The following is a 26732-nucleotide window of genomic DNA, read 5'->3' as shown; positions in this document are numbered from 1 at the left end:
GATGTGAATACAATCTAGATCAGAGGTAGTTAGAGTAAATTATAAAGCACTATTTGCTCCAGAAATTTTTGAAAGGATTGACAGTTGTTTTGGCAGGGAAGCCATAGTGAAAAATTATGCTCCTGATTTGTAATAGACACTAGTTCTGAGGGTAGAATAAGAAGGTCGAGCCGGTGGGATAAAATCCTATTTCAAAGAACCATGGCTCGAGTTTTACAAATGCTCCAGAAAAAGCACTTTGAGAAATGAAGACCAGAGTATTTTAATATATATTGTAGCTGAGATGAACTATTGAAAATATAAAATAAATCACAAATTCAGAATACCAGTCAAGATTTTGAAAAAACAATGACAGCTTTGCTTTAAACTTTTAACCCAAGTGCATTTTAGAAAAACCAGCAAGGCCACCCTAATGATAAAGTCTGTATCTTCTGCCCTGGATGATAAGGATATTCTTTAGAAATCTTTTTGAAATAAATGTAATCAAGCATTAAAGCAGCATGTAGTGGTAAAATCAAACCAGGTGGATTAATTGCTGTATGCATTTTGTATTCCTTGGGGCATTATCACTTTTGTTTTCATTAAAGAATTTACACACCATTATATAACAATGTTGGTTTTCCTCAGTGATGTGTGAATCATATATAAAGAATGCTTCAACAGAGAATGAAAAATGTGAAATAAGTCACTCTAATTGGTAAATAACTCTTTAAATTTTATGTAAAAATGCTAAGAATATTCTTTCAACTAGGTAGAAGTATTACTTTAAAGAAATAAACACACTAGAGACATCATAATATTATAAAAATATTCCACAAATGTGCCAACAATTGGACCATACATATCTTGTTGGAAAATCCCCAGAATTCCTGGACAATTATGAGACTTGCAATTATCACTTTAAAATTATGTAATTGTATTATCTTGAATTAATGAGTGTTTAGGTTTATGTAAAATAATCAACTTTTCAGCTAATACAAAAACTAAAATCTTAGGAGTTTTGAAATTTGTGAGAATATTTTTTAAAATTCATGTTTTAATGTTCTACCACTCTAATATATTGTTTTATTATTTTGAGCTGTGTCATCTTCCATATTTAATTTTCTAAGGTCCCATCTAGTTAATGAACAGAAGTTTTTATTTCTCATTTTCCAGCCAGCAGAGGGCAATAGAGCATTGTGTACTAAACATCCTCAACCAATTGAAACATTTCATAGGGGAGGGATTTTCTGCTATGAACAGATAAGAACATAAATTAAAGAGACCTGCTATCAACTTCTATTTCAATAGGATGTGTATGTGTATGTGCACCCCTTGAGTTTTTGATTTATGTTTTTGATAATTTATTATGACTATAGTGAACTCATTATCTGAAATTAGTCCACGGGTACATGAATAAAAAACTAGGAAATAGCATAGTGGTAAATGTTATCCAATCTTTAGAGAACATTTCAAAAACTACAAATGTTTGTATTTTTCAAGAAGTTTCTATAGAGAGAGATTCTATTGCCATTTCATAAAGGGTAGTAAGTGAATTATCTGAGCTAAAAGAAAACTTCTCATCTTAAGTTTTTGCAAATAAATGGTTTACTGGTACTTACTTTAAGCATCCATTAGTATACCCATTCTAAACTTAATTTATTAAGTTAAATTTATTATATTATTTTTCATTTTTAAATCATTTTATGATGGACAAATGAAATCTATTTCTCAAAAACTATGTGGGATTTAGTATAATGTGCAATGGAAGAAAAATCTTGATAAAAATCTAATTTAAAGAACAATGTAATATTTTCTCTCAATGTTAAATTAGTTCTGAAGATATTATGTACCCTGTATTGTGTATTAAAAAATAATTTGCTCAATACATATCGTTGTTATAAGGTCAGGGAATGTCTGGACCTCCTAGCTTTAAACAACTATGATTCTTTCATTCTAGAAGCTATTGTTTCCCTCTCTTAAGCCTTATCTACACACAAATAGGTAAGCATTTAGAAAGCTCATTTCATGACACATAAGTATATACATTGAATATGTCCTTTTCATTTTTTTGGCTTCATACCCTATATAAGCCTGTGTGTCCATCTCACTATTGTTTAAGAGTATTGGGTTTTAAAAATACTATATTAATTGCAAACTCCCTAAATAAAATCAAATTGAATTATTTAGAAGAGTACTGTATGTAGAAGTGTTATAAATTGTGTTTATGGTTTTCTGAACAATCTTTTAAGCAACAATCTTTATATGACTTCCCTTATTAATTGAAAAAGTGTTCAGTTTTCTACTACTAACTATAAACTTAATCTTGAGCTTTCTTTTTCACGATGAAATCACAATAATAATAATCAATTAATGTTTGATGATTGCTAATTCCGTTACAAGCGCTTTATGTGTATTACTTGTTTCAATCCTTGCAAAACCCCTAGAAGGGGAGAACTATTATGCTCTTCACTTAATATAAAAAGAATAGGTGCTAGCGATATTAAGAAACTTACCCACCATCACCCAGCTAGTCAGTGACAGAGATGGACATTTGTATTCTTACCCACTTACACATTTTAGAAATGAACATTGTGCTTCGTTATTATTCTACATATGCACCTAAGCATTTTATTTTTCCTGCTCCAAAGAGCAAGTTTAAGTAAACTAACTTTTAAGTTGCCTGAGATATTCCTTTATCTTGTAGATCACTGGAAGAGGAATAATACATGTTATTCATGTGGTTTTTTTCCTGGAGAAATCTCAAAGTACACATATATATTCAATAATGACTAACAAGACACTGAAACATATCAATAGACTATATTTACTGTACTCATTCAAAGCCACATCCACACAAAAGCAAAATTTTGTTAGTTCTCATTTCATCATGTAAACTTGGGTAGCATTTAGAAATTATCACCATATAAATGTTTTGATTAACTCTCAATAGCTTACATCTAGCTAAGTGTCCATGCCGATTCAATGGTGCACTCTGCCTTACCATCACATATCACCTTTATTACCCTACTGAATTCAAGTATGCATGAAGGTAAATAACATATTGGGGCCGGGCATGGTGGCTCACGCCTGTAATCCCAGCACTTTGGGAGGCAGAGGCGGGTGGATCACCTGAGTTCAGGAGTTCAAGACTAGCCTGGCCAACATGGAGAAACCCCGTCTCTACTAAAAACACAAAAATTAGCTGGGTGTGGCAGTGCGTGCCTGTAATCCCAGCTACTTGGGAGGCTGAGGCAGGAGAATTGCTTGAACCCAGGAGGTGGAGGCTGCAGTGAGCTGAGGTTGCACCATTGCACTCCAGCCTGGTCGACAGAGTGAGACTCCATCTCAAAAAAATAAATAAATAACATATTGGAAAAAGATTGCCTCTTTATATAAAGCTCTAGATGACAACATATTAGAAGAATGTAATTGCATTTTCTTTATGAAGATGTATAAGCATTTAGTAATGCTTTGAAGATGTTTGTATAGAATTTTATAATAAATATTTACAGTACTCTCCCATATAGTAGGTACAGCATTGCTTGACTAATAACTTTAGAGCCTAACTGTACCCAAATCATAAGGTACATGCCCACCATCTTATATAATCCTTACATAAACCAAAACATTCCCCAGTGTATATTAAAGTTTAACTAGAGCAGAGTTACTCAGTCTAGATACTATTGACATTTTGGGCAAGCTTATTCTTTGTTGTGAGAGGGAGACTGTCCTATGCAATGGAAGATGTTTAGCAGTATCCCTTGCCTTAACACACCAGATGCCTATACCACCTTCTCACCACCTCCTCCACTCCTCTTCCCAGCTGTGACAACCACAAATGTCTCTGGACATTGCAGAATGTCAATGGGGAGGGATTACAGTAAGGGGGTAGAATCACCCCTAGTTGAAAATACTGAAATGGAGTAAACTTTTTAGCAATTGCCGGTTTCCATTAGGAAATGGATAGTTAGATGAAATGCCAAAAGCATGAATGCCCAGATATCTGCAATCTGCAAATAGACTTTCTTCTTGATCATACTTTTTGTCTAGCTAAGTGTTTTTCAAAACTTAGTATACTACACAAAATTGCCAACACAAAACAATGCTTAATGTACTTTGGGAAGAGAGAAAATACCATTGGTAAGCAAGTCATTACTTCCACTGTTGCGTTTACAAGATGTACAGAAGAGACAGGCTTAAGAGATATATTTTTACAGCAATTATTTGTGATCAGTGCTATGGAGAAATAGTCAATGTTGTTCTAGGATCATCACACAGAAATCTGATATGTAAAGAAAGGCTGAAAATGGCAGGTCTAGGTAGGCTTTCCTGAGGAAGAGACTTTGATCTGAAACTTAAAAGATAAATTGGAGTTACCCAGGGGAAGTATGGGCCAAATGGCAAATTCTTCAAACTGTGTTCTCGTGCTTTAATCACATAGCTTCTACCTTTAAAGCACATTTAATGATATTCTAGGAAATATACACGTCTAAAGAAACATCTCTGTATGCATTGCCAACTTTTAAGTTACTATTATTGGAAAATATTAAGGGGAGCAAGATCAGAGAATGTAGTGTAGTGGACAATGTGGTTTATTAATTAGACTTTGTCAAGTGTTCTCTACATTCCAGTATAAGTTAAAATAAACTGATAAATATTCACCATTATTTAAGACAGATGGGTTTTCCAGATAAATATCTGATTTTTTAAAGCGACAAAATTACTAATCTCAAAAAATAATGATATTACTTCTTCAATCAGTAAAGCATAAGAGATGATGACTTTTTAAAAATTATTTTAATTTTATGGTTCATTTTTCACTAGGAAAAAGGGGATAACTAAGTCTTTCAAACTCCTGTTGTGTGATAAGCAACCTAAGAAATTTAAAGGAAAATCAAGAAATAGATGATGTTAGGCCAAAGTAATGTGATTTGGATAAACTATGATGCACATTACACAGATAGGTTGATCCCTATTTAGACTAGTATATTTATGTATGGTGATGTCATAATCACTGAAAATAATTTTGGTAGCCAAATGTTAAACACTATACTCTCCCAGCTGAAAGGAACATTTAGTGAAATAATGAATTGTGCTTCAGTTTATACTTTTTTCCAAAGGTAACTATTTAGGAAAAGCGCTTATGTCTTAATTTATTGCCCTTACTAAAAGAAAAGAGTTTACTTTCTGGTGTGAAATACAAGACCTGTGAAATTCAGGCATATTTGTGAAAAACAAACATTTTCATTTATTAAACACTTGTAATAAAAACAAAAGGCATCCCTTAAACAAAAATATAATAATTCAATTAAATACAAAGGGGAAATTTAGGTGTTAATATTTGTCTCACGGTTTTTCATAGTTATCTGTGATCTTTCTTACTCTTACATATGTTGGTTCTAAGATCATTGGAATAAGCATTCTACAAAGCAACTTCAAACAATTGAGTAATTTAATAAATTGTGGAAAGTATGTATTGCTTTAATAGGATATCTATAATTAAAATGAAATTTACTAAGACTTTAGCCAGAAAACATTCTAATATAACTTTAAAGAATCAGATTATGCACACCTTCACAGGATTAGAAATAACTTCAATGTCTAACAATTGGAGACTAGTTACATGTATTTTAACACATTCATCTAATGGGATTCTATTTTGCTCTTTTAATGATAGTGTTAAAGAATATTTTATGTCTGGGAAAAAAATTCTTATGATGATCTTTGAGTGAAAATGTAGGTTTCATAACAGTTTTTAAACTGCTATTCCATGTTGTAAGAAAAAAAAAGTCTTTATATGCAAAGTGAAAAAAGAAAAAATATACAACAAAATGCTGATAGCATATGTGATTATATTTGAGAGAATTATTGGAATATTTTTTCTTTCTTTTGCTGGCAGTTTCCAAATGCTCTAGAAATATGTTACTTCTATATTGTGAAAAAAATTAAAATCTTATTAGAACCAATTAGCATCTGAATATAAGGCTATCAGCCATACTACTTTTAGTATGTATGCTTAACAATATTTTTGGCAAAGAATTAACATGCTAAACTGGTAAAACAATATTTTACTTTGTAATTAAAACATTGTAGGTAAAAAGTAATATTTAGAAATCTTCGTATAAATAGAATAATTTCGGTATCCTGTTTTTGGTGATAAGATTGTTTCACTGGCTTCAGCAAACACCTGTTTTGCTTCACAGATACACATATGATACATAACTGAAATAAGATATATACAACAAGATATGGTGTTACAAGTGAAATTCTACCTTCTAGGTGTAATAAAGCAGCTTTAAAGAAGTATATAGTGATAGGAAATTGAGAAGATGAGATTAGATCAAATCAACAAAGGCTTTTAGTTCCAGCAATGAAATTGGATGATTTCTTTTGGAATGTGGCCAGGATGTCAGAGAGGAGTGATTAAACTCTTGGGAAAATATATAATTATCTTTGTTGTTAAGACAGTAGGTTTATATTCTATGTCAGTTTTCAAGAGCTGTTTGTTCCTCAGTGACAATTACAGGATTTGGATTCAGTATTTACCCACAAGACTGAGCCCTTCCGTATTTAGAATCATAGTCCTCAGTCACACCAAGAAGCTATTAAATCCCAAAGGCCCAATTTGGCTGCTCAAATGTGAGGCTTTCCCATAAGCCATATAAGAGAGAAATAGATTAATAGGTTATAAAATAAATAACTTTCAAATAATATGTGATATGACAATTTAATGAATTCTTTAGTATTGTGATTATTACTAATAAGCTTGGATAGTCTTTTTCCAAAGGTAGTGTAACATTGAATATTTAGAACTACTTTTATTTACTGACTCCAAAAATAACATCTAAATAGGAAACTCGAGTACAATTTCAAGATGGTTTTTAAATGAACATAGTACTTCTTGCCCATTTTCCGCTAGGAAATGGATAGTTAGATGAAATGCCAAAAGCATGAATGCCCAGATAACGGCAATCTGCAAACAGACTTTCTTCTTGCTCATACTTTTTGTCTAGCTAATTTGTCTAACTGATTAAAATAACTTAAAACCTAGGTAAAATATTATTCCGAATAAACAAACAACAGGTGGGACTAAACATAATGAAGGCACTAAATAAGACATAAATCCCAACATATGTATGTCAATCCTACAAACATTTATTGGAAGGATTTTTTTTTAAAAAGCAATGAAAAACCAAAAGCATTAAACAGTTTTGTAAAACACATCTGCAGAACTAAACATAATGTAAATTACTTACAAAATAGTTTGTGTTCAAATTGTAAGGCTATGGAGGGTGTCATTCAGCTGTGCAGCTGTTAACTATGATCCCAATTTAGGAGAATTTTAAATCATGATTAGAATAGTATATGTTTGGTTTCAGATGTATCTGGAAGTAAGAAACCAAAAGATAGCAAATCCCATGGTGAGATGTAGATTTATACATATATATCTTTATGTTTCCCAATATCCTTCAAATGTCTTAACCAACATGTACAATATATTTTTTCATGTCATCTCATTAGAGTTAAAAGAAACATGAAACCACTTTGAACATTTTGGACATAAAATAAAAAAGCTTTGAACTTCTTACTTCATATAGAAATAGAACTAAAAATGCATATACTTCAGAGTCATTTTCTTGAATTGAGTCCCAAAATGAAACTAGATCTTTACACACAAAAACCAAAACATACACACTGATAGCTTTCTTCAGCTAGAACTGAATCTGTAAAAATTATATTACTTTCATCAACAACTTTTATTTGCACCTCACAGTTCAAATTTATGCTTACCCTTCATGTATAAAATGAGATAATAAAAATAATTGACCGAATAATATTTTTTCCTGAGGATTAAATCAGTTAGAATACATAAAATACTTAGAATAGTATGCACAGCACATAATGTCATATAAATACTGCTTGTTATAATTTTTATTCTATTAGAAACTGGAGCTACAACAAAAACAGCATTCCCGGTTCCTGATCAGTCAGCAATATGTAAAACATATTTGTAAAACTTATATGTAAAACATAACATGTAATACAATAATGACACAATATCTATTATACTATGCCATATCTAATGATGTAAGGATGTTAAAGGTAGAGAATCGTGATCAAGAATTGCTGATTATTCTGGTAGAAAGAAGTGTTTTCTAGCAATTTAGAGAACTGTGTTCCAGTCACGAGTCAACCACTAACTAAAGGAGTCTTCTGGGAAAAGTTGGTTTCTTTAAGCTTCAGTTTTCTCATTTATGAAAAGTTAATCTTGAGGTTTGCTTCTTGTGAATGTTATATACTTTAACCTCAGTCAGTGCTCCCAATCTCTTGGACCCAAATAACCTGATCTAAATAAGGGTGTGCTTATTTAATCAGAACTTTGATTTTGAAGTTATTAAAGTCCCCTGAAACATGAGCTCCATAAGTGATATTCAGTTAGTTCTCTATTGAAGTAGATAAGTGGTTGAACTATATATTAGAGAAAATAAACTTTAGAACTATAGAAATAGTTAACTAAAGAAGCATTTTTCAAAAATATATATTAACAGTGAGATAAAACTCATTCATTCATTCAGCAAACATCTGAGTGCCTACTCAGTGCCAGGCACTGTTTTGGATGCTGGGACTAAAAAAGTAAACAAAATAATCAAGAATCCCTGGCCTCATTCTAAAAGGAGGGTTGCAGCAACAAAATAAAAAATATATATAGTATCTTAGATGTGAATAAGTGCTTTAGAGGAAAAAATAAATAAACAAGTGGAAAGGATATGGGAAGTATTGCGTGCGAATGTAAGTTTAAAGGACCTGGACAGATAAAGCCTCTCTGAGGTTTGATGAAACAAAAACTTGAGAGAAGGGAGAGTGCGAGTTCACAGATTTATGAAGGTGAGTACTCCACGTAGAGCACATGTAAATTCCTTGAGGCAGGAGGCTGTCTAATTCATTCTAGGAACAGCATAGAAGCCATTGTGATAGAACAAAGTGAGAAAAAAGCAGGTAAATGTAGGGGGAGATGATGTCAGGAAAGTATGAGGGACTAGCTCATGTTAGGCCTTGAAGACTTCTGGAAAGACATGGGATCTCACTTAAAGTAAGACAGGAAAACCACTGGAGGGTTTTGAGCAGAGGAGAGGCATAATCTGTCTCAGATTTAACAAGATCCCTCTGACTGCTCTATGAAGAAAAGCTTAGAAGTGCAGTGACTTAAACATATGGTCTTTCTCAGTAAGGAATACTGCATTGCTCCTTTTAACACAAGTTTACTGCCAAGTAACCGTCATATGCAGTTTAATCAGGAAAGCTGAAGCTCTTAATTTTCAGGTGTAAGGTATTGGGTATTAGAGATATAACCACAGTAGTCAAATGCTATAAACTGAACAATGTTTATTAAAGAGACAAGATTTCTCATAACTATCCTCTCTGGGGGACTCACAATGCTCATCTGCATATTAAAAGCTTTGGGGAATCCTTAAACGTATTGAATCTGAAGTCTCCCAAGTCTATCCTACCATGGAACTCATCTTTGTTTCTTCAAGTGCTTTGGTTCAAAACAAACTGAGCTCAAATATAAGTTCCCTGGCTACTGAGCCTCTCAACTTTGAGTTAATTATGTAATCTCAACATCATCTCTAAAGTGGGATAATAACATCACCTCACTTCACTGTGGTGAGAATTAGATTAGATAATGTTTGTAAGGGACCCCAAAGAGTGACCTTAATTAGTGCCACTTTTCTATATCCTCTCCTTTATCTTCAAAAGCTCACCCCCTCTTCACATTAAAGGAGTAAATTCTAGCCCGACCCATTGTTGCTAATATGTAAGGCCCCAGGCTCTATCAAAAGCACTTAGCAGGATAGCACCTAGTGTTAGAACATCTACAATGTGTGTGAGATGCTGAGATGCTAAAACAGAAACACAGTCACAGTAATTCCACAGCAAAGTTGAGTATCTCATATTTATATTTCTTAATAAGCCTTACAGAGCAATAGCGAGGCTGGAGTACATCATCTGGTGGGACCATTGGGATGATGGTCCTTTACAGTATCTTCACAATGCTGTGTTAAAAATATTGGCCCTGGCCAGGCGCGGTGGCTCACGCCTGTAATCCCAGCACTTTGGGAGGCTGAGGTGGGCAGATAACGAGGTCAGGAGTTCGAGACCAGCCTGACCAACATAGTGAAACCCCGTCTCTACTAAAAATACAAAAAAAAAAAAAATAGCCGGGTGTGGTGGCCAGCACCTGTAATCCCAGCTACCTGGGAGAATGAGGCAAGGAGAATTACTTGGACATGGGAGGCGGAGGTTGCAGTGAGCCGAGATCGCACCACTGCACTCAAGCGTGGTGACAGAGTGAGACTCTGTCTCAAAAAAAAAAAAAAAAAAAAAAAAACTCTGTCTCAAAAAAAAAAAAAAAATTGGCCCTATTTACAGTGCCTGAAGTCTTTAAGTAAATGAAGACGAATAACCCTGGGAATTTCTCCTCCCTGTGATTTTTGTTTTGGAACACATAATTACCTGTTTTAAGTAGCAGAGAAGCAAACAAACAAAAGTAATACTGTTAAAAGGCACCTTATGTACATTTGAAGCTACCATGTGCAGCTTAGTCAGGAAAGCTCAAACTAAATAGGCCTCGTTTCTTGAAACACAGTAGATGTTCCAAGAAATCTCAATTTACTCTCCTTTTATTCGGATTATTCGGATCACTTTAGCTTGCTTTCTGAGATCGGACTTTTCTTACATATCCAAACTTAGGAAAATATTCAAACATTCAATTATTCAAACTTTCTTCTCAGTTCATCAATTTAAATACCAAGGATCACGCAGATTACTCAGCAATTTCATGTAAGAATTACTGAACTAACTGTTGCACTCTGAGGGATGGGATCTTGGAGTGTTCAGCACAGCCTTGGTGTGCATTGCATGTGTCACTGCTTCTCATCAGTTTTGCTGGAACTTATGGCTTGCATCCCAGGGTCGGTCTGATTCTAAGACTTTTAGCTAAGAAGGCAGAGAGATGTTCTGGTTTGTATTATAGTTACCTTAGGAACTCTATTTCACTCCTACTCATCGGAGTAAGTGGTATCTGCAATCCCTGGAGAGACCTGGAGTGTTCTGTTATTTCCAGAGTTCCTGTGGCTACCTCCATGAAAGATATAATCATTGGAGCAACGCAAGAGATCATTACTGCTCTAGAATTTTGACCGTCAAAAAGCCCTTCTTCACGGGACTACTGAAATCTATTATTTTCAGGTTTCTTCAGAATTCTCAGGGGAGATCCTGAATTTTGGGGATCCTGAATTTCATAGACTCTAAATGAGATGAGAATTCTCTAAGTGGAAATTTAGAACCCACGATTCATTCAGATCACAGTGATCAGAAAAGGGTTCCTGAGTACAAGTTACCACACTTTCTCCTTCCTGGTGCTGTGTCTCCCACCCAAACTGATGAGTCAAGATTCTCTTGTACATGTCAGAGTTCCCTGAAGATCTGATGTGAGTACATTCCCTGTCCACATGTGTACACTCACACTTGCACAGGCACTCACACAGACACCATGAGCATTTCAGGCATTCTTCTGGGTAATTTAAAGTTCAGGAGCAAAAGTGAAAAGGTGACAACTTGCTATGATCCAGCCATCTCTAGGAATGTACTGGGATGTCATTTAACCTGAATGGCACTTTGTTTTTATTTTTTTCAGACAGATTCCACCCTGAAGCCTGTTCTGTTTTGTGCACCTTCCCATAGTAGGAGTTCTAAAAGCCTAAAAGAAAGGAATTATATTTGCATCTTGTCCCTATAGCACACTTTACTGTTTCTTGCACATAGATGATGTTCACTAAGTGTTTATTTGCACGAGTGAGGAAAAGGAAGTAGATACAAAAGTTCTCAGATGCATTGAGTTTCACTTCTTATAGATCCGTAATGCCTTCTGAATACACGTTCTTGTCTTTGCATGCCATCTTTACCAATATAATAGACAGAAAATAGATACACTTTGGATGAGACAGGAAAAAGAAAGGACTAACACATATGAGTTGGTGATGATAGTCTTCATCAGGGGGCTGGCCAAAAGTTAGTTCCTTGAAGATACTTACTGCTGACTGTCCTCGGAAATATCATCTCTAGGCCGGGCGCGGCAGGGCTCACGCCTGTAATCCCAGCACTTTGGGAGGCCAAGGCGGGTGCATCACTAGGTCAGGAGATCGAGACCAACCTGGCTAACACGGTGAAACCCCGTCTCTACTAAAAATACAAAAAATTAGCCGGGAGTGGTGGCGGGCGCCTGTAGTCCCAGCTACTTGGGAGGCTGAGGCAGGAGAATGGCGTGAACCCGGGAGGCGGAGCTTGCAGTGAGCCGAGATCGCGCCACTGCACTCCAGCCTGGGCGACAAAGACAGACTCCGTCTCTAAAAAAAAAAAAAAAAAAAAAAAAAATCATCTCTAGGAGTGGAAGAGAGGGGATGGGTGTTGCTTACTGAAGTTGAGACATCAAGGGTGATATTAATATGGTTTGCATTCAATGAGATAAATGGCAAAAGAAATCTTGAGAGATACGAGCAAACTTCCAGAGACCAGGAGATCCATTTGGGGGAACAATGCAATAGGGATCCTTACACATATTCTTCATTATATTTAAAAGTATACCCCCATTACTAAGTGAAAGTTTGACATCTTTATTTAACGTACATTCAAATGATATGAGGATTTGAATTTTCTCTCTATCTTGCTCTCTTTCTCTCAAGTACTACACTTTAGTGTTTGTTTTCTATTACTAGGTAAGCTTCTCTTAAAAGTATTTTGTATTCCAAGAAAAAAGAGATATATTCTATGTTTTTCACTAAATATCCTTTAGCAAGACCAAATCGATGTATGCTTTTCAGCTTTGACTGCCCATTCATATTTTTACTGCTGAAAAGATTTTGGTTGGAGTCTTTGAATTCTTATCTCCAGGCTGTTTACTGAATTTATAGTCAGTTTTCTCAGGATTAGACTATCTTTCACTTTCAAAGATAGGTGCTGTTAACCAGAGTTTCCACAAAATGTCGCTCTAAGGTCGTTGGTTGCACCAGCAGCAACCAAAATCAATGTACAATTTGCTTTTAAATTTTTATCTTCCATTAGGTAATGAATGTGCTCACCTGAAAAGACATGGAAAAGCACAACACTATGTAGAAAAGAGCAAATCCTCCTTCTCTGCCCTATCCATTGCGCAGTTCTGTCCTCCAGAGGCAACCACCGAAAGCAGCTTCTTACATGTACTGCTAGACACCAAATAATTTTTTTTGAAGTTATGGTACACAACTCTGTAGATATTAATTCTGCCATTTATTCAGCATTCGGCATGTTAGGTATTTCACATAGTGTGTCTTTTTATTTATTTATTTATTTATTTAAGACGGAGTCTCGCTCTGTCGCCCAGGCTGGAGTGCAGTGGCAAGTTATCTCGGCTCACTGCAACCTCCGCCTCCTGGGCTCAAGCAATTCTTCTGTCTTAGCCTCCCGAGCAGCTGGGGCTACAGGCGAACGCCACCACGCCCGGCTAATTTTTGAATTTTTAGTAGAGACGGGGTTTCACCATATTGGTCAGGCTGGTCTCGAACTCCAGACCTTAAATGATCCGCCCGCTTGGGCCTCCCAAAGTGCTGAGATTACAGGTGTGAGCCACAGCGCCTGGCCACTGTGTCCTATTTAAAAGAAAGAAAGAAAAATGACTGACTCAATGAATGAATGCCTTTCAGACGTGTCAGGTTTGTTTTGCTTTGTGTATTTTTTGTTAATGCAATAAAATATCTCGAGAACAGAAACAGAGAAGAGAAAACAGACCTGGTCACAGAGCTATAACTGGCAGGTTGGGATTTCAGGGCGGGTATACTGAGTGTCAAACCTATGCCTGACTAGCTTCTCCTAACTGCAAACTCTGGGCTTGTCAAGATTGTTTTTTGCATTTGTTTCTCTCTCTCTTAAAATTACATCCCCATTGTTAGCTTTCTAATGTGTGGAGTATGAAGTTGAAAGAGAGAGTTTCAACTGAAACATGAGGAAATGATCCCAAGGCCCAACCCTGTGCCTTATGATTTGGATATCTTTTCTACAAGACCTTCAACAACTGCAACTTAAAAGAAAAGGATGGTTGTAAGAGACTGCCCATCTACTGATATGTTCTGGATAGTTCTCTGTTTACCTCCTGTCCTAAAGCCATGTTGCTCAAAATTGATTTTTTTTTTTTAAATGGGAATGGGGAGAAGTGAGAGTGGAGTTGAGAGTTTATTCCAATTCCTGGAAGCGGCAAGGAAGAGGTTAAGTTGGACCAGGAGGATTTTTGAAGTCTTTGGCTGGGAGGTTCCATTTGGAGAAAGGTGCAGGGGAGCTAGGGGTGGCGAGAGAAACAAGACAGTTTCTCATTCGCCTGGATTTCCGATTCCGAGCAATTGGATTCTCACCTGAGGGCGCAGTTGGGCACCCCTGGCTTGTGGATGGAAATATTGAGGAGCAGAACTTGCCTGACCAGCGCCTGGAGAATAGAGTGAAGCATGGAAAGGACCACGCGGCCCCTTTAAGTATTATCGGGCCGGGGAGGAGAGGGAGGGAACTGGGAGCCGCGGGGACTGTGGGGGAAACCCACAAGCAATTGAGCTGGAGAGGAGGCAGCGTGAGAGCAGAAACTTCAGACGCCGCTGATCCGGGAGGAGCTGGGGTGAGCCGCGGCGGCCGTCTCTCCCACCCGCAGCAGCATCCTCTCTGCCCTTCTCTGCCACCCCGGGGAGAGCCGGGAGCTGCCTCTTTACAGCTTCCACGAGCCAGGGGTGCAGGCAGCTGCCCCCAGGAAGTTTGGGCTTCTGCGTAGTTTAGGGGTGCCTGCGAGCGCCCCAGAGGGCGAGGGGCCGAGGGCGATGTTGGGCGCCGCGCGGGGCTGGGGGCGCCCAGAAGACGTGCGAGTGTCCGCGGTCCTGCTGCTGTCTCCAGTACCCTCCGCATCCCCCAAGTGATGGGAACAAGGGCCCGCCCAGGCAGCCGCTGTCGCCGCACCGCCCCCTCGCTCGCTCTCTGCGCGCGGAGTCACCCAGTCACACTCCCGGCACCCCGAGCCCTTCCTCCGGAGCTGCTGCTTCTACTTTGGCTGCTATCGCCGCCGCCGCGGGTGGCCCGCTGCTGACTGGGCTCGCCGGGAGACGGAGAAGCACTTTTTGGCCCTCCCTCAGCAGCTCTCACACCCCAACTTTGCCGCCGCCGCCGCGCCTGCCCTCGCAGCGGCGCTCGGCCGCACATTGTGGGGGCGCACGCCGGGAGGCTCCGCAAGACCGTGGAGGCAGGAAACGGCACTACTGCGCTTCTGCCTCGGCTCTTTGTTGTTCGCTTTGGATGGTTCTTGAAAGTGTCTGAGCCTCCTCGGAAATCCTGGGGCCGGAGAAGACAAACCTTGGAATTCTTCCTCTGCAAAAGTCTCTGAGATACTGACAAGCGTCCGGAAAGGTCGACGAGTAATTGCCCTGAAAACTCTTGGCTAATTGACCCACGTTGCTTATATTAAGCCTTTGTGTGTGGTGTGTGGCTTCATACATTTGGGGACCCTATTTCCACTCCCTCCTCTTGGCATGAGACTGTATACAGGATCCACCCGAGGACAATGATTGCGGAGCCCGCTCACTTTTACCTGTTTGGATTAATATGTCTCTGTTCAGGTAACCCCGCGTCTTCTTTCTTCACCCTTGATCCTCCCTGTTCGCCCCCTCTCCACTTTGCACGATCAAACCCAGAAGTGTATTTTGGTTACCCCTCCCTCCTAAGGCCGGAGGGGCTCGATTCCTGCTAGACTTTTAGGCGAAAATGTTCCTAGTTCGCATTTGGGGTTGTCTCTTTTTCCCCACTCCCCAAAACCTCCCCTCCACCCCTGAACCTCCTCAAGACTCTTTGCAGATCTCGGCCTTTTGCCAAGTTCAGGGCACGCCCAGATTACTCTGGGCAAACGCACGTCTAAGCACTAGGGTGGGAGGAGGCAGCGGCTGGCAGTGAGCTAGGGCCCCCAGGATGAGCCGAAGTGAGTATCAGCCGCCGGCTGCTTCCCTGGGGAGGGAAATGTGCGCCCTGGGAGCTTGTGGCCCGCAGGCTTGCCAGGATTCCTGAGCCTAGTCCTCTCTAGCCCCTCCTCTTCCGAGCACAAGGGGTTATTAGTAGTTGTTTTATGTAACCAAAGTCTGTAATTAAATTTGATTCTGAAGAAGCTTCACGAAATAACTCCTTCTTAAGGTAGGATATAAAATAGCCACTGCCTCGCTGGGTTTAGAAGGAAAACAGGCGGTTGCAAGCATCGGAAAGGGGAGTTGCCTGGGGATTCTCATTGGCGAAAGAAAACTGAATTTGGGATGTTTAGGATTAATTAAATAATACTGAAATTCCATATGAAGTGTTGGAAGGATGCTGAAACGGGGCCCTTCTGACATAAGAGTACACACTGTATCTACACTTGTAAATAGTTTTCATACACTCCCTAGGAAACTTTTTTACTGTGGGTGAACTGAGCCACGACTCAACTTCTGTTTCTTTCCTTTTGGTAGATTCTGGTTTCAATCACGGATCCGATTTCAGGCTTTAAAACACACACACACACACACACACACACACACACACACACACACACTGCACCTCGGAATTTTTATAGTCACATTCGCATACTGAGCTTCAAATTGCATCAGGGCTTATCGGTAAGAGTCACTCAGTTTGCACAATTATGAAACGATTTTAAAGGTTAGTTTGAGCTTTTGTGGTCTATGGTTATCATTTATGTTTTGACCAGGGATTTTACTTAAGACAGTTAACAGAGTAAGAAAAGGGGGGAAAAAAACCACATACGTCAGCTAAATGATAGCGAATAAACCCCTAAAAGAATTTTAGCCTGTGAATTGTGCCTGCTGGCTGAAAGTTACAAGGAAGATTTGCAACTAAAGTAAATTTTAAAAATTATTAAATTGTTACTTCTTTAAAGAAAACAGAAAGTGAAGTTTCAACCTGGTATATCTCATGTACGTCACAGTGGAGGGATGAGTAGACTAACTCCTCGAGGTTGTCATTCCCCACTTCCAGCTTCTCCTTCTGTAATGCCTTATTTTTCCTTAGTTTGCATATCGGAGTAATTGAATAGTCCCTCCAGTCCCCCACCCCTAGCTATGGATGCAAATCAAAAACATTAAAATCTGATCTCTCTATTTGCCTCCCTTGGCTGTGTCTCTGCCTAGTTTAATTTACAGCTTCAGATACCTTTGAGATTTCTGTTGATTCACCTTTCTGGTTAAAGTTTATTTACGTGTGTAAAGTGAAGTGTCATTGTGATAAATGACTGGAGGGGCAGATTACTGAAGATAGGGGGATTAATGGTCATTAGTCACTGTTTGAGTTGAGTTTGTATATGTTGGAACATTTTATCATGGCTGTAGATTAAAGATAGGGTCACATTAATAAGGTATCACTGAAAGTTGGTCGTGTCAACTTGGAAGTTCTGTCTTCACTTGGAGAATTATTTGGGAAGTACTGTCCTATTAGATTTAATAATTTGAGTAGTAGATATCTGAGGATTGCAATTTGAATAGATATGAGACAATTATAATGTTAGAGCTACACTGATTTCTAGCTTTTAGAAATCTAAAATTTCTAGTTTTTCTGTTTCTAATTTAATTTTCCATTTAAGCCATTGATGATTTTTGTAAACCTAAGTTTTTCCTATAGGTGTGCCTATCTGCTTTGCCACTTTTCAGGACAAAAGCTTCTTTCTAAAGTGCTCCCTCATACATAACCTGAAGCTTTTTATTCCTCTGATCACTTTCGCTCATGCTGTGAATCTGAACTTGGGAGGCCAAACTATTGAGCTAGTAGGGTGATTTCATGACAGTGTTCAGTTATAAAGCAACACTATCGATTTGAATAATACTTCACAGAACTCAAGTGACTAGAAACCTGGGTGTGTTGAAGACACCTGGTCAGAGAATGAATGAAGTTCTTGAAAGATTGTGTTTCATGTCTTGCCCCAAGCCTAAGATCACAGTCTATCACTTGTTAATGGAGTGTATTTAAGAGAAATGTGGTGAGCTTAAATAAATCAAAGTGTACTGAGGGGATAACTTACCTTCAACAAGATTTAACCTGTAAAAGCATCTATTGGTTGTCAGTTCTTTTTTTCTTTTTTCTTTTCTTCCTTTTTTAACTGCCTGCCAACTTAACAAAGTCCAACAGTTTTCTTCAAACAGATTATAAACTCCATTTTGGTATGTTGATGGCATGCTTAGTACTAAGTCTTGTGCTTAAGAGTGTTCACTTCTCATAGCCTTTTATCTATTAACTTGATGCTACAAAAAATAACCTTTCATTCAATGAAACTGAGATTTATAAAAAGTGGTTATTCCTTCAGAAATTCATTTTTCAGGTAGATTCCTTTAATTACTTGGTCTATCTGCCTTTTCTATGGACAGACAGACTTCTGGTGAGTTTGCGGGGTGGGAGGGTGCAGGAGAGGTAGCCTTGAAACGAATCCATGTGATCTCTCAGGATCTGATTCTAAACATCTTTTCCTTCATAGACTTGCTCAAATCCACTTGCTTAAAACCTGCTTTTAAGTGAAAAACTAATTGAATTTCAGTTCAAACTTAGGATGAGATTTGAATTTCAAATAAATGATAGTTTACTGGTACTTTCTTTTTCTTGTTTTTTTGGGGGGGGGCGTGGGGGAGGGTTTCTCTTGGGAAGAGGAACTTTTTTAAATAAGTTTCACTATTTGAGCCAATTGTCTGGTCTCTGGTCTCTCTTCCTCTTTCCCTCCTTCCATCTTGCTTTCTGGTAAGATTGTTGTGTAGTTCCGATACGATCTGGCTAGTTTCTTTATAACCTTTCTGGCTTTTAAATGTACATACTTGAATACTGTGATATCTTTTAAAATATCTTTATTTCTTGATAATGGGCATTATAATGCATAAGACATTTGTGATTTAAAGGTCTTAGAACAGAAAGTTTACCTGAAGTTTTTTCTTAGTCTTTGCTACAACAAATGAAATATTCTTATGTAATTTAAAGTGGTACAGAATGCTAAATTTCAGACTAACAATGACCATTTATTTTTCGTTTTTACATTGACTAGATATTTCTAATTTAAAATAATGGGCAACTGGAATCCTGTGGGAAGGAAACAGGATAACAGCTTCTCAGTGAAGACTATAAGTGGTTGAATCTTTATTTATTATCATCTGTGTTAATAAAAGATGTTAAGGTGATACTTAGGTTAATTTCTGACCTTTAAAAAAATGTTTAATTTTAAAAACAAAAATATAAACTGCCCTGCAAGCTCGATTTCATATAGGAAAATATAAGGAAAGCAAAGTTATCATTCAATTTAAAATTAGGCCTAAGGTAATCTATAGACTACAGGAAAGAAAGGCACCAAAAAGAAACATAAAGAAATAAAAAGCAGAAGTCTGGAGAAGTGTAGTAGAAACTGAGCTGCAGAATTAAGCTAGTTTAAGATATAGGCAGGGATACAGTGGAAGTAGACAGAGCAGCCAAGTGGGAGTGTGCCCTCTGACCACACACAGCACATGAAGCAAATCCAAACAGTGGATTTCTTTTTCTTTTTTTGAAATGGAGTCTCACCCTGTCGCCCAGGCTGGAGTGTGGTGGTGTGATCTTGGCTCACTGCAACCTCTGCCTCCTGGGTTCACGTGATTCTCCTGCCTCAGCCTCCTGAGTAGCTGAAATTGCAGATGCCCACCACCATGCCAGGCTAGTTTTTGTATTTTTAGTAGTAGAGATGGGTTTTCACTGTGTTGGCCAGGCTGGTCTCAAACTCCTGACCTCAGGTGATCTGCCTGCTTCGGCCTCCCAAAGTGCTGGGATTACAGGGATGAACCAGTGTGCCCGGTCCAAAAAGTGGATTTCTGAAAATATGATGTCAGTGTATATTCTCTTAAATTCAACAACTATATAAAGAACTAGATAGTTTGCAGTTTTAAAACAACAAAAAAAGCAATTTGAAGCATGTTTAACTCTTTCATGAATCAATTGAACAGTTTTTTTTTAAGCTACATATGATAAGACTTTAGAATATTGACTGCCTCAATGTATATAGAAGACTGATACACCAAGTAGTTACCTTCTGTATGGTAACGCTTTTGCTTAAAGGAGACCAGTAAAGTGAAAGAAGGAAATAATTAAAAGATGAGATGGAGTTCCAACTCTAGGTGCAATAAGAAACTTCATGAAAATGGCTACTTTTACTGTGAAGCTAGGACTATCACTTTACTAAACACTCACCATTATCTTATTTAATGCTCATAAAAATCCTATGACATATATGCTGTTATTTCTAAGATATTACTGTGCCCTGATTTTACTGTTGTAGAAACTATATCATAGAGAAGTTAGGGAATGTGGTTCAGCAGGGATTTGAACCAAGCTGGCTCTAAAACTCTCAACTACTGTGCATTTTCCTAGTCGAAAGAGAGAAATGAAGAATTTAAATAAAAAAGATTATGGTTCAATCACTTTTTATTTTAAAACTTGTCTCAGAAAAAATCCACTTAAATGAAACTGTGGTTTGAACACTTGAGAATTTGGAAGGAAGGCATTATTCTTCCTGTCATTAAGAAAATGGTCTCTAATTTTTAGATCACCAGGCAAGACAGTCAGTTCTTTACATCATCTAACCAGTTCACATTGAGCCTTGATTATATCTGCATTTTCTGGCATGCTTAAAAGAGGAGACTGAATGTGATTCAAAACATTGTCTGCTGGTGATGCAGATGCACGTGGCTTTCGAGTTGTATTTTGGAAAATGAATGGCATTGTTCTTCTTGCACACTGGAGGAAAGATTTTGCTCTGCTCTGAATCCCAAGGCAAGTAATTGGTACTCCTCACTGAAGAGCCTGTGGAGAGACAATCATTTCCCCTGTGGTTGCTCTTAGGCTCTGGGTTGAGTATGGGCTGGTGATCATTTAGTAGATGAGCCTTCTGCTTGACTGCTGTTCACAGATAACTCACTTCATGGTTACTGATCATGGAAGGGTTGAGCCTTAATACCTGGTTGATCAGCTGGTTGGAAACTGCTTATGCATAGCCAATAAAGTTGCCATCCTGTGGAGATCAAAAGGCTACCTCCATTCTTTACAATTCTTGATTAGCATGATTTCCTTTCCCCTTCTCCCTCCACTTTCAGCCCCTTCCTTCAATCTTGCTGTTGAAGAAGAGGAAGAAAAAAAGATGATCTGTAGTGTACAGGGAGATAGCTTTGATCTCCACTGCTTTGCTTTTTCCTCTCTCTTTTTTAACCATCCAAAAGGCTATTTCTAACACCGAAAGGTGTCATGTTGCTTGCTTCATGGGAGAGCTCAGCCTCATTTCCCTTCAGCCAAAACAGGCTGCTACAAATCCTCTTACTTCTGTGATTTTACTTGGCTTCCAAATGTCTTATGACAGTGTTATTCCACACATAAAATAATATTTTGAACAGCATGACTGTGCATATCTTTCTGACTTTATTCAAAGAGAGAAGTACCTCTGTGGCGTTCACAGCTGTCCATGGCTTAGAGCCGGAAAATAATATTCTGTTTATTTTGTTTAATTAATTCATATTATTTTGAGGGGAAAGTGGATAGAAGGTAAGCAATTGTAGAAAATGTTCTAGGGTCACAAGATGAGACTAAATAGTCTATCTGGGCTTAATGCTTGTCACCTAGTTTGACACTTAAATGAAGCGTTAAAAGCACCATCAAAGGATACAAGCAAATGTCAACAGAGCAGTGTGGTTCTGTGTTAAGTGGGAATATAGTCTTTTTGTGTCAAGTGATTGCTTTGTATGCAGCATATAGGAAATAGTCGGTTTTGGTTCCTAATAATACAGTATTTTGGGGATCTATTTTTCAAATCATGTTAGTCTTTCAGTTAAGTAGAGCAAGGTTTACTAGAAAACATTTTTAAGCTACTTCTGGCAATAACAGCTCACAGTTAAAACACTTTCTCAAGATGCTCTTGGTTAGATTTCAGAAAGTATCAAGTTCAAAGTATGTCTAAATTCAACTCATGTGTACAGGACCTGAGAGCTGGGGACAGCTTGTCCACAGTCAGCCATGAAAGGAGCGTGGAGTCCTCAAAGCTCTCCTCTAAGATTATTTGCAGTGTTCTGCTTGAAACACAGTTCGTATGCCCAGTTTGTATAGAAAGTAAAAGAGCAAAAAAAATTGTTATGTATGACTAGTAAGTTCTTGAAAAGCCATTTCAGGTATATGTTATCTCTTGATTTAACTTACAATTTCAATGAGCATAACAAGATAGTATTCATATGACATAAAAGTCTTTGGATCATGTTAGGTATGGTCATAATTTATGCAACATTATGAAAACATATATATAATATATTATGAAAAACATATATATTTATATATAAATATATATAAAACATTATGAAAAAAATATATATAAAACACCAACTTGCTAAGTTCATTCCTGGGTTTTGGTAGAAGGCTAGATTTTAGCTTCTCTGCACTAACGTGATTGAAGCCCTTTTATGTTATTAGCAATTTCAGGTAGAGTAGGAAAAGAACATGAAGCCAAAGAATGAATGAATCAGGTCACAAATGTCTGTTTCAATATCATTTGGCAACACAGTGCTAATGAGATACACTAAGTCTCATAATTTGATCTCCAACTTAACTTGCCTGCTGTTACATTTTCTTGTTTAGCACGTGATTTTCTTTTTTCACTAATGGTGGACTTTTAATTTGGCTAAAGAAATATATCTATCTGCAATTCCTTTCCTATACAAGAACATGTCCGCTTTTTAGTTGCATAGCTCTAAAGCTGATTTTGTATACTTAGGCTTTATTGAAAAGGAAGCCTGTCACTCTGAAACTTCACTAAAATTGTCCTTGCTCATACAACAAAGTGAGTTAAAGTACCTTTGTATGTGTTAACTACACATACCTCTGGGTAGCTTTCAACTTCTTTAGTTGCTTGGTTTGGGAAGTAATTTCAGTATATCCAGACCGTTCCATTAGCAAGTTGTCTGAGTAAAGTAAACCATCTTGTACAGGCTGTGGAAAATAAAACTCATCTGTTCATTTCCCTTGTATCTGAAGAGAAGTGAAAATTTCCTAGCAATCTGGTAGAACGACCACTTTCTAAAATGAATGAATTTAGTAATATATTTCCAAAATCTAAATCTGTAGAAGAAAAACTGGGGAGACGTAAAGCTTTCATTCAGATATCTATGCAAATAGGAGGGGCATTCACTGACAAGATCATTGCTATTAATCTCCATGAATTCAGATTGAACACAAGCATCCTAAGAACAGCTTTGATTTAAATTCAGTAGGGTGATGAAGAAAAAGAAACTCATTGTGGTATTTGATCTTTTCTCCTGTCATAGGTCATTGAATCTTAAGAGCTCATTGCTTTTTAGGAGTCTATATGTAGATATAGATAAATAAATATATGTGTTTACATGATGAAAAAACCCAAGTGACTTATTAAATGATGATCGATGTAGTAGTATAGGCCCAGTTGTATACACGGAACCTGAAACACTAGGAATCAATAATATCTCTAATAATAATGGTAATACTGATAATGCCTAAAAGTTACAGAGTGTTGTTATCTGCTTGACAAAGTGCTAACATGCCTTATCTTATTTAATACTTAAAACAATCATATTAGAAATGAATGTGTTGTTATTAGCCCTGTCTGTCAGTATGAAAAATGAGGTTCAACAAGTTAAGCTCTTTAACTATGGCCAGTCAAAGTAGTAGAGTGAGGACATAAAAGTAGCCTGTCTCATCTCAGAATTCTTGCTTTTCACAATTCTACAAACACACTATACTATTCCCTTAAAGATAATGAATGTAGATGAAACAGTGTAAAATATGTTTAGAACATATTTAGATGCTTTTTTGGGAGGGAACTACATCATGCTGCCAACCTGTTTTAGTTCCTTTTTAGATGTTTGATTTTTATGTTACATCTTACTGTCTGTTGCTTTCTTCTCTTTGTCACATGATAACCCACAAAAAAGAGTGTACCCTGGTTTTACACACTCTACAACACAGAAACATAAGTCCAGCCCCATAACATGGTTTTTTCAGTGCTGTTCAGTTTGTGGAATAAATTTGAAATTGTAAGTACCAACTAGTTTTTATGATAGCTCAACTGTGTGAGTAGAATTGTCCTTAGAGAGAAAATAGAATCACTGTTATCCAACTTCTGTAAGGAACTGATTGTTTCATTTTCATTTTTTGATTTTGATAATAAATGGTGATAAGATGTTATTGATAATAAAACATGTTAAGCAGAAGCTTAGTTAGAATCTGTGATTAGCATTCCTTTAAAGGTGTGTTCTTCTCCAATGACAAGTTTTATGGAAAACAAAGAAAGACTTTAGCATTGGTTCACATAATTCCTGCCAATGAAACCTGTGTAAGTCTGTGATAGCTATCAAAAACAGCACTGTAATCAATACTCTTTCAGAAGTAATGCAGTTGGTTTTGGGAATACCATTCTTTTGCTTTTCTTACTGTTTTAAGTATGTGTTTCTGACTATGGCTGTTGTATAATTTCTTAGGTAGGGTTTTCTCAGCTGAATTCAGTGGTCTTCCAAAGTTATTTCCAAATATGTAGATGGGATTGTATATTTATATTCATCTATTTCCATAGGTTTGGGAGTTTGCATAAGGCTTAAATGAAGATTGAAGCTTTCCCCAGTTTCTTACACTATACCACTAATCAAAACAGTATCATGTCTAAAACCTTCCCTTATTTGAGACTTGGTTCTTATTAAGGTTTTTACACTGTCTTAAAATATACTTCAGGCTGGGCGTGGTGGCTCACACCTGTTATCCCAGCACTTTGGGAGGCTGAGGCGGGTGGATCACCTGATGTCAGCAGTTTGAAACCAGCCTGGCCAACATGGTGAAACCCCGTCTCTACTAAAAAAAAAAAAAAAAAAAAAAAAAATTAGCTGGGCGTTGTGGTGGGCACCTGTAATCTCAGCTACTCCGGAGGCCGAGGCAGGAGAGTTGCTGGAACCCGGGAGGCAGAAGTTGCAGTGAGCCGAGATCGTGCCATTGCACTCCAGCTCAGGTGACAACAGCGAGACTCATCTCAAAACAAAACAAAACAAAACAAAACCATACACACACACACACACACACACACACACACACACACACACACGGCTGGGTGCAGTGGCTCATGCCTGTAATCTTAGTACTTCGGGAGATTGAGGTGGGAGGATTGCTTAAGCCCAGAAGTTTGAGACTAGCCTGGGCAACATAATGAGATGCTACAGAAAAAAAAAAAAAAAAAATTAGCATGGTGTAGTGGTGCATGCTTTTAGTCTCAGCTACTTGGGAAGCTGAGGCGGGTGGATGAGCCCAGGAGGTTGAGGATGCAGTGAGCTGTGTTCATGCCTTTGCACTCCAGTCAGGGTGACAAAGTGGCATACTGTCTGTCAAAAAAAAAATGCACGTATACATAAATATATATATGTATATATGTAATATACATGTATATGTTACTTTGTATGTATACTATATATATGTATACACACACACGTACGTGCTGCATAATAAATATATTTTAGTACATCCATTGCTTAGCAGTTTGCCATTCATTTAATGCTACTTGTTTATTATTAATGGAGCTTAATAAAATTATTTATTCCCCAGTAAACTACTATCAATTGTGATAATAATAAAAAATTATTATTAAGCAGCTGCCAACTTTTGCTGCTGTTAGACACTTTAAGGAATGTTTCAGGCATACCTGATAATGTGCAAGAGCTTTTAATACAAGATTCAAGTTGTGTACATATAGACCACAAAATGAAATGTCGATTTACATTAGTGAATTGTTGGCACTGTATGAATGAAAGATGTTTCTGATATGATGAAAGAAGGGAGAATTGCATTTTGGGAACTGGTGGGTCAGGGGATTTAACTTAGTCAGGAAACTCTTCCTGGAATAAGTAGGTTCCCAAACAGTGCTGAGAGAAATAATGGAGATAACTTGTTTGACTAGGGAAGGTATTTGAGAGGTGCGTTTAGGAGTGGTGATCTGAAAAATCTGCTTTCAGAGGTAGACTTTACAGCTATTGGTTATTACAGAATTTCACTTATGACGTTGTATTGTAAAGAGCATTATTTAATAATCTCATTCATTCTTTCAGTCACCTAACCAGGCAACAAAGTAGAAAAAAATGCTCATTCCCTGTGCTTAAGGAATTTATGGTAAATGGTTGATTGCTGTGTAGGTGATTTAATAGAGGTATGCATGATGATCTCTGAGTGAGCTTATATTTAGACCATAAAAAATAATGCAGTTGTTAATTAGCTTGATTTAACCATTCTACAATGTTTGCATATTTAAAAACATGTTGTACACCATAAATACATACAATTTTTATTTGTCAGTTTAAAAAACAAATAATTTTAAAACATGCTTCAACCAAATGGAGAGAAGGTGAAAGTAAAATAAATATAAATTTGATAACCTAATTCTTAGAGATTAAAACATCTGTTTTCTGGCATTTTCTTTGAGGTTATGGATAGCAGTATACAGATAAATAGACTTTGATATAATGCTATGTGTATTTTTATTCTCAATCTATCAGAGAATCCCTTGGGCGGTACCTGGAATATCACTGTCTCTCTGTCCTTCTGCCCTCTCCGTGGTACCCTGAGCACGGTCTTTATTCTTTCCTCATTACTTTCTGTGTCGGGAATTA

General features: G+C 37.4%; 1 protein-coding gene across 17 annotated transcripts in view; it reads left to right on the top strand.

The window, feature by feature from the left end:
* ROBO1 (roundabout guidance receptor 1) overlaps nucleotides 1–26732 on the top strand; it is a 1170760-nt gene that overhangs the window by 733930 nt on the left and 410098 nt on the right. For 6 of the 17 annotated variants that reach the window (XM_047448665.1, XM_047448663.1, XM_017006983.3 and 3 more), the window contains exon 1: nucleotides 14610–15662. The exons of 10 other annotated variants lie outside the window; for them this stretch is intronic. In XM_047448665.1, coding sequence (XP_047304621.1) covers nucleotides 15608–15662 — 55 coding nt within the window. In that variant the 5' untranslated portion in view covers nucleotides 14610–15607. Of the gene's footprint in view, nucleotides 1–14609; nucleotides 15663–16177; nucleotides 16228–26732 lie in introns of those variants that run through there. One more of the 17 variants, XM_017006985.2, reaches the window with a different exon arrangement.

This window comes from Homo sapiens, chromosome 3, assembly GCF_000001405.40.
Source record: "Homo sapiens chromosome 3, GRCh38.p14 Primary Assembly".
Lineage (NCBI taxonomy): Eukaryota > Metazoa > Chordata > Mammalia > Primates > Hominidae > Homo > Homo sapiens.
The sequence above is the reverse complement of the archived record's forward strand: the minus strand, read 5'-3'. Positions and strand labels throughout refer to the sequence as shown.